The sequence below is a fragment of the Homo sapiens genome, chromosome 16 (genome assembly GCF_000001405.40).
Source record: "Homo sapiens chromosome 16, GRCh38.p14 Primary Assembly".
Lineage (NCBI taxonomy): Eukaryota > Metazoa > Chordata > Mammalia > Primates > Hominidae > Homo > Homo sapiens.
The window spans coordinates 18,777,383-18,790,842 of NC_000016.10; the positions used below are offsets into that span (position 1 = coordinate 18,777,383).

General features: G+C 46.8%; 1 protein-coding gene across 2 annotated transcripts, besides 3 other annotated features; it reads right to left on the reverse strand.

Moving 5' to 3' along the window:
• Nucleotides 1-3,912: 3,912 nt before the first annotated feature.
• Nucleotides 3,913-12,952, reverse strand: RPS15A (ribosomal protein S15a). 2 transcript variants are annotated; one of them, NM_001030009.2, is made up of 5 exons: nt 12,928-12,952; nt 11,599-11,736; nt 10,681-10,760; nt 7,356-7,441; nt 3,913-5,720 (listed from the first exon to the last, which is right to left on the reverse strand). In NM_001030009.2, exons 2-5 carry the CDS (start codon nt 11,729-11,731, stop codon nt 5,627-5,629), a joined length of 393 nt encoding a protein of 130 aa, NP_001025180.1. In that variant the 5' UTR covers nt 11,732-11,736; nt 12,928-12,952; the 3' UTR covers nt 3,913-5,626. The 2 variants fall into 2 exon arrangements, with proteins under 2 accessions (NP_001025180.1, NP_001010.2); NM_001019.5 differs by having other exon boundaries at nt 12,862-12,952.
• Nucleotides 11,905-12,622: an enhancer, noted in NCBI's record as "NANOG-H3K27ac-H3K4me1 hESC enhancer chr16:18800609-18801326 (GRCh37/hg19 assembly coordinates)". NCBI's record gives its function as "activates a minimal SCP1, AML or CMV promoter by ChIP-STARR-seq in naive H9 embryonic stem cells {active_cell/tissue: H9 hESC(naive)}" and the evidence as "EXISTENCE:reporter gene assay evidence [ECO:0000049][PMID:30033119]".
• Nucleotides 11,905-13,189: a biological region, named in NCBI's record as "NANOG-H3K27ac-H3K4me1 hESC enhancer GRCh37_chr16:18800609-18801326".
• Nucleotides 12,560-13,189: an enhancer, noted in NCBI's record as "active region_10518". NCBI's record gives its function as "activates an Ori minimal core promoter by ATAC-STARR-seq in GM12878 lymphoblastoid cells {active_cell/tissue: GM12878}" and the evidence as "EXISTENCE:reporter gene assay evidence [ECO:0000049][PMID:35858748]".

Consider the following 13,460-nt stretch of genomic DNA (forward strand, 5'->3'; position numbering starts at 1 on the left):
CTTTTTTGGTTCCATATGAACTTTAAAGTAGTTTTTTCCAATTCTGTGAAGAAAGTCATTGGTAGCTTGATGGGGATGGCATTGAATCTGTAAATTACCTTGGGCAGTATGGCCATTTTCATGATACTGATTCTTCCTACCCATGAGCATGGAATGTTCTTCCATTTGTTTGTATCCTCTTTTATTTCATTGAGGCAACCTACAGAATGGGAGAAAATTTTTGCAATCTACTCATCTGACAAAGGGCTAATATCCAGAATCTACAATGAACTCAAACAAATTTACAAGAAAAAAACAAACAACCCCATCGAAAAGTGGGCAAAGGATATGAACAGACACTTCTCAAAAGAAGACATCTATGCAGCCAAAAGATACATGAGGAAAATGCTCATCATCACTGGCCATCAGAGAAATGCAAATCAAAACCACAATGAGATACCATCTCACACCAGTTAGAATGGCCATCATTAAAAAGTCAGGAAACAACAGGTGCTGGAGAGGATGTGGAGAAATAGGAACACTTTTACACTGTTGGTGGGACTGTAAACTAGTTCAACCATTGTGGAAGTCAGTGTGGTGATTCCTCAGGGATCTAGAACTAGAAATACCATTTGACCCAGTGATCCCATTACTGGGTATATACCCAAAGGACTATAAATCATGCTGCTATAAAGACACATGCACACGTATGTTTATTGCGGCACCACTCACAATAGCAAAGACTTGGAACCAACCCAAATGTCCAACAATGATAGACTGGATTAAGAAAATGTGGCACATATACATCATGGAATTCTATGCAGCCATAAAAAAGGATGAGTTCATGTCCTTTGTAGGGACATGGATGAAGCTGGAAACCATCATTCTCAGTAAACTATAGCAAGGACAAAAAACCAAACACCGCATGTTCTCACTCGTAGGTGGGAACTGAACAATGAGAACACATGGACACAGGAAGGGGAACATCACACTCTGGGGACTGTTGTGGGTGGGGGGACGGGGGAGGGATAGCATTAGGAGATATACCTAATGTAAATGACGAGTTACTGGGTGCAGCACACCAACATGGCACATGTATACATATGTAACGAACCTGCACGTTGTGCACATGTACCCTAAAACTTAAAGTATAATTTTAAAAAATTAATTAAAAAAAAAAAAAAAAGAAAGAGGAGCCATAGAGGTCTCCTGCCAGCCACTAAAGGCCCCCGCCTGAAGGAGGCACTTCTGCTCCCAGCTGACTGGCCAGTTAGTCACATGGACAAGGCACTCCCACCATGTGCCAACCGGGGAGAATCTGAATATTTGGTGAACAGCTCTAATGACCACTCCAGCAGGTTACAAACATTATGTATAATCTTCACAACCACTACAGGAAATGTTACTATCATCTCTCTACTAAAGACAAGGAAACTGACGCACAGAGGCACAGCAAGTGGCCCGAGATCACACAGCAAGCAACCAGTGAAGCCACTAGATTCCAAAGCCCATTCTCTTAACCCCATTTTGTTTTTTTGTTTTCTGAGAGATGGAGTCTTGCTCTGCTGCCCAGGCTGGAGTGCAGTGGTGCAACCTCGGCTCACAGGGCGAGACTGTCTCAAGTAAAAAAAAAAAAAAAGCCAGGTGGGGGATAGGTGTAGGGGCAGAACCTGGGTGTCCTGTCCATATCTCAGCCTATTCCAAGACTGATTTTTGGGTCCACGGAATTCTGTGAATGCAACACTGTGGCAGAGGCACCTAGATTGGATTATCCATTTTTTTTCTTTTTTTTTTTTTTTTAGACGGAGTTTCACTCGTCACCCAGGCTGGAGTGCAATGGCGCAATCTCAGCTCACTGCAACCTCTGCCTCCAGGCTTCAAGCGGTTCTCTTGCCTCAGCCTCCTGAGTAGCTGGGATTACAGGCACCTGCCACCACGCCCAGCAAATTTTTGTATTTTTAGTAAAGACGGGGTTTCACCATGTTGGCCAGGCTAGTCTCAAACTCCTGACCTCAGGTGATCCACCTGCCTCAGCCTCCCAAAGTGCTGGGGTTACAGGCGTGAGCCACCGCACCCAGCCGGATTATGCTTTAAAAGGCATGCTTTCCCATAGCCGTGAGGGTCAGGGATTATTTTTTTTACAGCATAGTGCCATGCCCGTGGAGAGTCTAGATGCTGGGGATACACAGGTGACTAACAGGGTTCTTGCTGCAGGGAGGCTTAGCCCTTTAGGGATTAACAGGTTCCAATAAGGGCACAGACTGTTTGTTTGTGCACCCTTGTGTCCCGTCTGCCTAACATTGTCTGGACACTATAGACATCTAATAAACACTGGGAAAGACCAGGAAAACGCAGTACAAAACACGCTAAGGGCCTGGAGTAGGCTGAGGCTTAAAAACATTTAAATGCTCACGTGACCACTTCCTAGCCTCTTGGACAAATGGCTTTCCAATTCTGTGCCTCACCTTTTTCACCTGAACAACTGGAGCTGGGCCAGGCGCAGTGGCTCACGCCTGTAATTCCAGGACTTTGGGAGGCTGAGGCGGGCAGGTCACCTGAGGACGGGAGTTCAAGACCAGCCTGGCCAACACGGCGAAACCCTGTCTCTACTAAAATACAAAAAAAATTAGCCGGGCGTGGTGATGTGTGCTGGTAGTCCCAGCCACTCAGAAGGCTGGAGCATAAGAATCGCTTGAACTCATGCCACTGCACTCCAGCCTGGGCGACAAAACGGACTCCGTCTCAAAAAAACTGGAGCTGGTAATAGTACCCATGATGCAGGATTGCTCAGATTAAATAATATATGTAACACTCTTAGCTCCACGCCTGGCAAGCACTAACAACCATTATTAGTCTCATTAAGGCTTCCACATTTTTAGGAGAAAGATGAAGTAAAACACATGTTCCTTTTGGAGGAAGATAAATGGAAGTGACATTTAACTTGGCTCTTGGGAACATCTTTGGAGAGAAAAAGGCATTCCAGGTGGGATGAACCGTGAGCGAAGGCTGAAGCGCAGCACGTATGGAGCCCTCTGAGGATTCGGGATTGCCAAGTATGTCTTTGGCAACAACGGATTAGACTGAAAAGCCAAGTGAGATTCAGAGTTTAGGTCTCCCAGAGCTTGCTTTCTCCCTGGCCAGGAGCTCAAAGTGAACTTCCTCGCCTGGGGTGAAGTCATCCTCTCAGACGTTGGTCCAGACCTAGCTTCAAACTCTGCCTTGCCCAGAGACCTGTGTGCTCTTTCACCTGGCACTCCTGACCCTGAGGTGAGACAATAGCCTCTAAGTGAGGACACGTGGCAGGCACGAGTATAGATGTGTTGCTGAATGTAGGGGTCCTTGGCAGTGGTTCCCTGGTCTTTTGAATGACACATTTCTTTCAGCCTCTGGTCAGAGGCTCCACGGGGTCTCTCCATGAAAATGCAGGGGTGTTAAGTTTTGCATGTCTTTTTGGACAGTGCATCATATCCCTGACACCTGCAGCTCCGAGGCTGAGCAGCGGATAGGTGCTGGGTCCCTTTTACTATGAGCCAAAACCACCTAGGTAGGAATGGATGATCCAGATGCTATCACCCTCTCCCCACTCCGGGGTCTCTGCCTAGCAACAGCAGCAGTATGCTGGGAGGATGCTGGGATCACCCCACAGAAATACTTGTCTCTGAGCCAAGACATCCTGCCAGCACGAACCTAAATTGTCTTCAGACCCTCAAACCCTGGGGTCTAGTCCCACACCAAGCAGCCCTGGGTCATGTTATAAAGCCATTTACAGGATCTGAGGAACAAGGGGTAAGGTCATCCGCTTCCTTGCCAACATAAAAGAACACATGTTAAATCCATCAGCCACACCACTCCTTCTTCCCCTGTCACGTTTCTCCCACTCCTGACCACTTCAAAGGACATAGGATCCCCACAAAATGGTGACAACAAATGGAGCCATTTTCATATCCTATTTTATTTTTGAAGTCAGTGTCCAGAAAGAAACCGACGATTCACTCAATCAACATGTAAGCGACTGAGGCATCCCTACACACCAGGTTTGCAGGCTAGGGACCAGAGACACGATGGTTAAACAAGCCAGAGCCCTGTGATCCTAGGGCTTACAATGCTGGCATAAGAAAATCCTTCTGGACTCACTGTCCCCATGCTTGTGACTGTCATGTGCCAAGTGCGCTTTACACAATCTCATTTTTCCCTCAACTTGGGGATAGGTTTTGTATCATTCCCATTACAGATACGGATGCTGAGGTTACTGAGTGGAAGAGGAAACCTGAATTCTGCTGCTGGACCCCAAAACTCATGTTAATTACCCACAGCCTCCCAAACATCAGAGGCCCCAAACATGCCTCCCAACTCACTTCTCACAAATGGGGGCCGTTATCTGCCCCATCTCTAGGGCCGTTCTGTAACATTCTCAGCGACTTCCCATATCTTACAGAGGCAGGCCCTCCTTTCAGGAAGCTGATCCATGCCCCTTAATAAGGTAGCTTCTCTCCCCACTTGGCACACCACCTAGCTAGCCAAGGGCAAAGCAGAGACTAGGGGACAGGCCCCAGCACCGGGTCAGCACCCACTACCTCCTCAGTGATCAACAGTGCCCATTGCACTTCAATGGGCACCTGCAAGTGGCACCAGATTCTCTTGGAACAATTCTTAAGGCAGGGCGTGGTGGTCACACCTGTAATCCCAGCACTTTGGGAGACCAAGGCAGGCAGATCACTTGAGATCAGGAGTTCGAGACCAGCCTGGCCAACATGGTGAAACCCCACCTCTACTAAAAATACAAAAATCAGCCAGACATGGTGGCACACACCTGTAATCCCAGCTACTCAGGAGGCTGAGGCACGAGAACTACTTGAATCTGGGAAGCGGAGGTGCAGTGAGCCAAGATCATGCCACTGCACTCCAGCCTGTGTGACAGAGCGACTTTGTCTTAAAAAAAAAAAAAAAAAAAAAAAAATTCCTAGCAAGTATTTATTACAGCAGTCAGTGACAAAAGCCAGATCTAAAATCCTATCTACAGAATAATCCTAGCCAGGCAAAACAAATTCATCAAAAACTAATAGAAAATACTGAAATATAGGCCAGGTGTAATGGCTCGTGGCTGTAATCCCAGCACTTCGGGAGGCCGAGGTAGGCTGATCACTTGAGGCCCAGAACTCAAGACCAGCCTGGGCAACATGGCGAAACCCTGTCTCTACTAAAATATAAAAATTAGCCGGATGTGGCGACACACACTTGTAATCCCAGTTACTCAGGCGGCTGAGACAGGACAATCACTTGAACCCGGGAGGTGGAGGTTGCAGTGGGCCAAGATCGCGCCACTGCACTCCAGCCTGAGCAATAGAGTCAGACTCTGTCTCCAAAAAAGAAAAAAAAAAAAAAAAACTGAAATACAACTAAAATATTTAGTGTCAAATACCTGGTTTTGGCAGACAGCAGGGGTGACTGTTTCTTAGGCATACTGGTTTCATAAGAACTTTTTCCCTTGGCTGTATTAGTCACTTCAGGGAATCGCATTCACCGATAAACGAAGCAACTGCATGCTGCCGCAGAAGCTGTGGCTACACTGCTGTAAAGGCTCAAAACGACCAAGTGGAAGCACCAGAGTCCATGAGGCATTTTATTTGTAAATATATGTATTACATCCCTAGAAAAAGAATCCCAGGATTTTCCCTCCTGTGTGTTTTCGTCTTGCTTCTTCATGGTCCATGATGCCAGCTGAGGTTGTCAGTACAATGAAACTATGGAGTGGAAAAAGAAAGTGCTGGTAAGTTTAATAGTTCAACATAGTGCCTTCTAGTGCAGAAAAACATCAACACTCATCAGTGGTTAAGGGCGCTTTCCTGTGGGGCACATAGGAACTGACAGTGCCTACATGAGCTGGTGCCTCATGTAGCGTATGAGCCATGACTCCTGCAACCCAAAGAGCCAAATCCAGAGAGCCCAGCCACACAATCACACAGCCCTGACTTCTGCCTACACCATGAAACAAACTGCACTGAAAACAAAGGCTGGGAACTCCTTTAAATTTAAATGTCACTTTCTGCTCTCAGGTAAGGAGACTTGAAAGTATTCGTATAAACTTGAGTTTGAATTGTGTTTCTGCCATGTACTGTATAATAGCTAAACTATTATATGGAGACGTTCATTTGTACAATGAGTGGCTGCTTCATGAGTTACTGTGGGGATCACTGTAACAAGCATATAGTATGCAAATGTGCGGCATTAAAATCAGTATCATAATTACAAAGAGAAATGATTTTGGTGAGAATACCGTACCTGTAATACAGCAACCATGAAGTGAGAATACTTTCAACCAAGGCACCAGACGCATAATTTGGAGGGTATAAATTCTTAACCACAAAGATACACATTTACTGTGTCAGCTCATAAAGTGCTTTACCAAAATTAAATCAGGTGATAAACAGAGGAACTATTACCACTTTTACGGATGAAGAAATCAAGGCTGTGACTTGCCCAAGATCTCATGGCTTTAAAGCAGAAAAACAAGGGTTTGAACTCAGATAGGCTTTTAAGGACAAAGACTCCCAAACTAAGTTTTCCCAAAGGCCTAGGCTTAGAACTGATTCTGGCCCTCATCTGGGATCACAGGGAACTATCTGCAGTGAGCCAAAAGGGCAGACATGAAAGTGGACACGACCCCCCTTTTCTGCCAGTCTAAGCTCTCATGTGCCTCTCAGAACCTGAAGCTCAACACATGAAATGTGGCAAATAGCCAGGCACGGTGGCAGGCGCCTGTATTCCCAAATCCACAAGAGGCTGAGCGGGGAGGACTGCTCGAGGCCAAGAAGCCAAGGCTGTAGCGTGTTATGACCGCACCTGTGAACAGCCACTGCACTCCAGCCTGGGCAACAAAGTGAAACCCTGTCTCTCTCTCTTTTTTCTCGAGACAGAGTTTCACTCGTTGCCCAGGCTGGAGTGCAATGGCACAATCTCAGCTCACCGCAACCTCTCTCCCGGGTTCAAGCTATTTTCCTGCCTCAGCCTCTCAAGTAGCTGGGATCACAGGTGTGTGCCACCAGGCCTGGCTAATTTTGTATTTTAGGTAGACACGGGGTTCTCCATGTTGGTCAGGGTGGTCTCGAACTCCCAACCTCAGGTGATCCGCCTGCCTCAGCCTCCCAAAATGCTAGGATCACAGGCGTGAGCCACTGTGCCTGGCCAACCCTGTCTCTTTTTAAAGAGAGAGAAAAGAAATATGGATAACACTTGAGCTATTAGGTCAAAATGGTTAAGAGTAGACAAATTACCACTGCTTTGTTTTAAACAGAAAAAAAGAAAAAAACCCTTAAGTCAAACTGCACCACAGAAATTCTTAGCATTAACTTCTTTTAATTAAGGAAAGGCCAACTTACCCAAACTGGCGGGATGGAAGCAGATTATTCTGCCATTTTTCCAGGTCTTTGAGTTGCACGTCAAATCTGGGGCTGATCACCCCACACTATAAAATAACAACAACAACAAAAACATTCTTCACTTTACCAATAACAGAAAAACTGAGTAACACAAGATGACATTCATAAATAAACAGTCCTCCAAACCAACCAACCCAGCATTCAGATGGGTACTTATTCTGTGCACAATGCTTGACATACTTTTCAAAAAATACACCTAAGTAAGACTACGCCTGCCTAGGAGAAAAAGCAAAGGCATGCAAAGAGATGGAACAAGGCAATACATGGCAGTGTCAGGCCACTGGCGTGCTCCCTGTTGGCTGGAGAGCTGTCCAGGATGATCAGATTTTACATAGCCTAGAGATCAAGTCTCGACAAGAGAGACTACAGCCAACCCTTTCTTACATAATAAGGCTGAAATAAAATCATAGGGTCTCAAATCCTGAAGCTCTACAAATTATTAGAATATCTAAGGAACACGCTGTCCAGGCACTGAACTAAGAACGCTGCTCCCACCAATGAAGTACCGTTACATATTTCCAAGAAACAATGTCCTACAGCCCCAGACAAATTTTTCCAAACAAATCTGACAGAATGATGGAAGGCAGAAAGAGCAAAGGGCCTGCAATTATCTCATCTCGTGGCTACTGGGACATGGCAACAATGATCCTCCCAAGTAAAAGCTCGCCAAGGGCTGCCATCACTCAACTACATGCCAGCCCTAAAACACTACTGAAGAAAGTCCACTAACTGATGTCCACTAACTGAAGACCCTCTGCTCACAAAATCTGCTCTAAAATCACAGGCACACTTGAAAAACACTTCCAAAAGCAGAGATTGACCCACAGAAACTGAAAATGGGCTTGTCAGAAAGGCCCAACTGCTCTACGCCAGGAAGCCTGCTTAAGTTCTCCTACTATTACCCCATCAGCTATGCTGTGACTTGACTAACAAGGACAATCTCACGGCAGATGAAAGAAATGCAGGGATAGGAATATGGGAAAACCAGTTTTATCCAAGCAAGCTATAGTGAAAGATCTTTCCAAAGTCTGCCGCACGCTGCATCCAAGTTTTATGTTGATTCCAGCAGCAAAAATTCTTCTCATTCTGGTAGAATTAAAACAGCATACCCTCCCCCAACCCAGAAGAATCGTAAGAGGATGTGATCAAGGCCAGAATTTTAATCAATCTAGTCTTTACACACTACCTTACTTCCAAGCTCAATTTCCACGCTAAGGGTAGGTCCATGTCTTGCATGAAAGCGATGGAGGGGGACGTTCTCTTTTAAATGGGGAGAAATGAAATTCCAAGAAACCAAAAATTGTTTGCTTTGTCGAAAGTCACAGAACAGGCCAGGCGCGGTGGATCACCTGAGGTCAGGAGTCCCAGACCAGCCTGGCCAACATGGCGAAACCCCGTCTTTACCAAAGATACAAAAATTAGCCGGGCATGGTGGCACTCACCTGTAATCTCAGCTACTAGGGAGGCTGAGGCAGGAGAATCGCTTGAACCTGGGAGACAGAGGTTGCAGTAGCCAAGATCGTGCCACTGCACTCCAACCTGGGTGAGAGTGAGACTCCGTCTCAAAAAACGGGCAGAGAGCAGCAGGGCCTGCATATCAACTGTTGTAGGCTAGAATTTTTCAAACTAGCATACCACAGAACAAGGGTGCCACAAATAAGTTCCATTTACAGAATGCTCTGTTCAAATTTATTTCTCGGCTGGGCCCAGTGACTCACACCTGTAATCCCAGCACTCTGGGAGGCTGAGGTGGGAGGATCACTTGAGCCCATGAGTCCAAGACAAACCTAAGCAACATAGCGAGACCCCACCTCTACAAAAAAGTTAAAGAAAAATCAGCAGTCACAGTGGAATGCACCTGTATTCCCCAGCTACTCAGGAGGCTGAGGTGGGAGGATGGCTTGAGCTAGGGAAGCTGCAGTGAGCCAAGATGGCGCCACTGCACTCCAGCCTCAACCAGAGCAAGACTATCTCAAAAGAAATATAAATAAAAATAAATCAATCCTATTTTGAGGTGGGGTTCTAATGGCTACAACTAGAACAAAACATGACATACTGAAAATTACCCTTGCAAGTTCTTCAAATCTTAGGGAGTCTTGCCCTGTTACCCAGGCTGGAGTGCAGTGGTGCGATCTCAGCTCACTGTAACCTCCGCCTGCCAGGTTCAAGCAATTCTCCTGCCTCAGTCTCCGGAGTACCTGGGATTACAAGCGCCCGCCACTGCGCCTGGCTAGTTTTTCTATTTTTAGTAGAGACAGGGTTTCACCATGTTGGCCAGGCTTGTCTCAAACTCCTGACCTCGTGATCCGCCTGCCTCAGCCTCCCAAAGTGCTGGGATTACAGGCGTGACCCACTGTGCCCAGCTAGTTCTTCAAATCTTTAACAAATACTTCAGCAACTCACCTTCTGGGTCTCTTTCCCCCCTATCTGTTGCAATAAACACAGGGGTGTCCAAGGGAGAGAATACAGTCATGGGTTCTTAGTTTCTGTTTCTAGTTGGGCCAGTAAGGCCCCTTCCTCATCCCTCTTTTCCATTTATCACTAGAGACAGAAACTAAGTACCATGGTTTCAGGCTGCTACAAGTCTAAAACAATACAACAAAATAAGGCAGGTTGGACAAGCCTGAACTAGAGGATCTGCCTCCTTGCAAATCTGAAAGCTACAAACCTGACAGGAAGCACAGTGGACACCTCAACCAGCTTAAGACACCTGCCCCCAAAACACACGCAATCACTTAAACCACAAAGTCAGTTTTACTTGGTTAAGGTGTTGACAAGTCAAACTGAAAAGCAGCATAGACCCCAAAGACCTATGCCAGCAAAAACAGAAAAAGTATTCATATTGCTATTTAGAAAGCCCCATTTACTCAAAGATAAAGATTCCATTCAAAAAACCCAACACATCACTGAGAGGAAGGACACAGCACCTTGGACAAAAGGCTCAATGGCCTTGAGCCACCCAAGTTCAAGCCAGTGAGGTGGGTAGCGTTAACATCCAAATACCAGTACCAGCGTTGGTTTCACCCCCCATCTCTCCTGAGACAGCTTATACCCCATAAAAACACTAGGTCAACTGACATAATCCTAGCACAATCAACCCAGGAGAGCAAATGAAGTTCCATGTGTCAATTTTTAAACCTTTTTAAAGTAACTGGATAAATCAAGTATGGCACCACTACTCAGTATTTCCAAAGGCAATTACAACATTTAACGCCACAGTAAAAAATTCTTAAAGCTTTGAAATGTGTAGATCACTCGTTCTTACCTTGTTTAGCCTGCCTGTGAGGTTCACAACAATTTTCCCAGCTCTGTGGTCATCAATGATTTCAAATTCGCCAATGTAACCTACAAAAGATAACTGACTGGATTAAATAAAAGACATCAACTTGAGAGCTAAACCTCTGTGCTCTAGCCTACTCAATTCTTCACTCTCCCATCACCTCAGTGACTGCTTCTCCAAAAAGTTGGGGGGAAGACAGTTGCTCTGTATCAGAACTAATTTTTACAACCTAACATATAAGAATTGGGAGACAATACCCAAAACAATCCACCTTGCAATTCTGAAAGAAACTATTTTCCCCTTGACCCTTCCTTCACTGCTTCCCATTCCCAAAGACTACTTTGTGCCAAAGAAGTGCAATAATCCAATCTTTCCTCTCAAAGAGCTCTGAGAAGATCTCAAGAGTCCTTTCTTTCTTTTTTTTTTTTTTGAGATGGAGTCTTGCACTGTCGCCCAGGCTGGAGTGCAGTGGCCGATCTCGGCTCACTGCAACCTCCACCTGCTGGGTTCAAACAATTCTCCCTGCCTCAGCCTCCAAAGAGCTGGGACTACAGGCGCCTGCCACCACGACCGGCTGATTTTTGTTTTTGTTTTTTGTTTTTTTAGTAGAGACGGGGTTTTGCCATGTTGGCCAGGCTGGTCTCGAAATGAGCTCAGGAGTCCTTTCAATGACTTAGATTCATTTAGCTCCCAAACACCTAGCAGAGCTCCTTTTTCCAGCAGTCCTACTCTAAGTGACTCTTCAGCAGTTTCAGACTATCCCCTCCTCCACAGCCCACAGGTCAATTGCATTCGTTCTCAGGTATGACAGACATACTTTGGTCCCCCATAATTAATTTCTACAGGACTGATTTCTTAGAGAGTCTCACATGAAAACATAAAACACAGCGGCAGCAGACTTACCATGCTTCATCATCACAGTGAGAAACCGGACGATGACTTTGGAGCACGGCCTAATAAGCACCTGGCGTTTGCCTCTCTTTTCGGCATTGTTGATACTCTTGAGAGCATCTGCCAGGACATTCATGCGCACCATTGTGGCTGTTCAAGGAAGACAAAACAGGAGGTTTTACTGGCATTGCCAACATCAACAGACACCAACCATTACACTGCGGAAGTATCCTTTCCTTTCTGGCCCCACCTTGGCGAAGTTTTCTCAAGTCTAAGCAGGCTGCTTCTCCATTTCCCACCACCCAGGAAAATTCCTATTTACTACGGTTGTTGAAAACAGGTTATCGGGACGTCAGCCTGCACATTTTGAAACTCATTCATTCACTAACCACTCTTCTTCGAATCGTGCCACACACCAACGTCTGGAGATAATAAAATGTGGGACAAAATCCACTTGACACAAGACAACGTGAGAACTGGCAGAAACTGCCAGCTACCGGAAGGAAAACATCGGGTATAGTCGATCAGTGATTCAGAACAGAAGCAGAGTATCATCGGCAACATTTTCCAAATTGCTGAAAATCAGCAGATTCCATACTATTAACATTGTACTTTAAATCAGTTCACTCTCACCTACAATGAACACATCTAACTATTAAACATCCATCTTCGTGCCATTTAAAATTGCGTCCAACAGCAAGAGCCACAGTGGCAAACAGAAACATTTTACATGCTTGTCAGACTGGACTCTCTTCTAATGGGCAAGAACCGCACACTACACTGAAGTTTTGAAAGACCAAAGTGCCAATAGTAAAGAGTAGAACTTAAATTCCTTAAGTTCAAAAGTGTCTAAAGAAAAACTCTGCGGCCCAGAAGATCCAAGTTGGCACCCAGCAAACTGCCAACCCCGGCACGATGCAGCTTTTACCTGCTGGGTGGCCTCAGCCTCCCAAGCTCCCAGCGCGGCCGCAGCAGTGAGAAGCTGCACGGCCCACCAGCCCCGATGTTGCCCGCCGCCCGGGGCCAAGGCGCTGCCTCAGCACTAAAGGGAGATCCAGACGCTGCGGCCCGAACCGGAGCTACCGCCTAGCTGGGCAGTCGAAGGCTCCGGCTCCCGCCCGCGCTGCGGCCTGCACCCCACGGACCGGGATCCCCTGAGTGCACAGTCTGGGGCGCCCAGCCATGGCTCTCCTCTATGCCTGTCCAGGAACCGGCAAGGCCAGGATCCTCGGCCAAGGTGGGGACCAGCCTCCTCGCAGGACACCGAGACCGAACCTTAGATTGCAGGATGGCGCCGATGGCAGACGGATGAAATTGGAGCTCTCAGAGAGTGCTACTCACCGGCGCGGAAAGATGGCGGAAAGAGGACGGGAGGGGAGAGCGCACGGAGTTATGGGAAGCGGGAGAGCTATCGCGAGACTTTCAAAGGCCCGGCAAAAACAAGGACCGCCTAGGAGAAGGACGAGGGTGAGGGAAAGGCGGAGCCTCCTCAGGGGTTGGCAGTTGAGAGTCGATGGAATCGACCTCCCCCGGTGGGGCCTGGGAGAGGCAAGGTGAGCCGTTCGTTGGAGGTTCGTCTACATTTTTTTTTTTTTTTTGAGACAGTTTCGCTCTTGTAGCCCAGACTGGAGTGCAGTGGCGTGATCTCGGCTCACTGCAACCTGCGCCTCCCGGGTTCAAGTGATTCTCCTGCCTCAGCCTCCTGAGTAGCTGGAACTACAGAGATGCGCCACCACGCCCGGCTAATTTTTGTATTTTTAGTAGAGACGAGGTTTCCCCAAGTTGGCGAAGATGTTCTTGATCTCCTGACCTTGCGATCCGCCCGCCTCGGCCTCCGAAAGTGCTGGGATTACAGGCGGGAGCCACCGCGCGGG

Excerpts from the sequence above, each read along its gene's own strand:
- RPS15A (NM_001030009.2), bottom strand. The coding sequence starts at position 11,731 with ATGGTGCGCATGAATGTCCTGGCAGATGCTCTCAAGAGTATCAACAAT. Across the intron at positions 10,761-11,598 it reads CACTGTGATGATGAAGCATG|GTTACATTGGCGAATTTGAA; the intron begins GTAAGTCTGCTG and ends TATCTTTTGTAG. Across the intron at positions 7,442-10,680 it reads TCACAGGCAGGCTAAACAAG|TGTGGGGTGATCAGCCCCAG; the intron begins GTAAGAACGAGT and ends GTTATTTTATAG.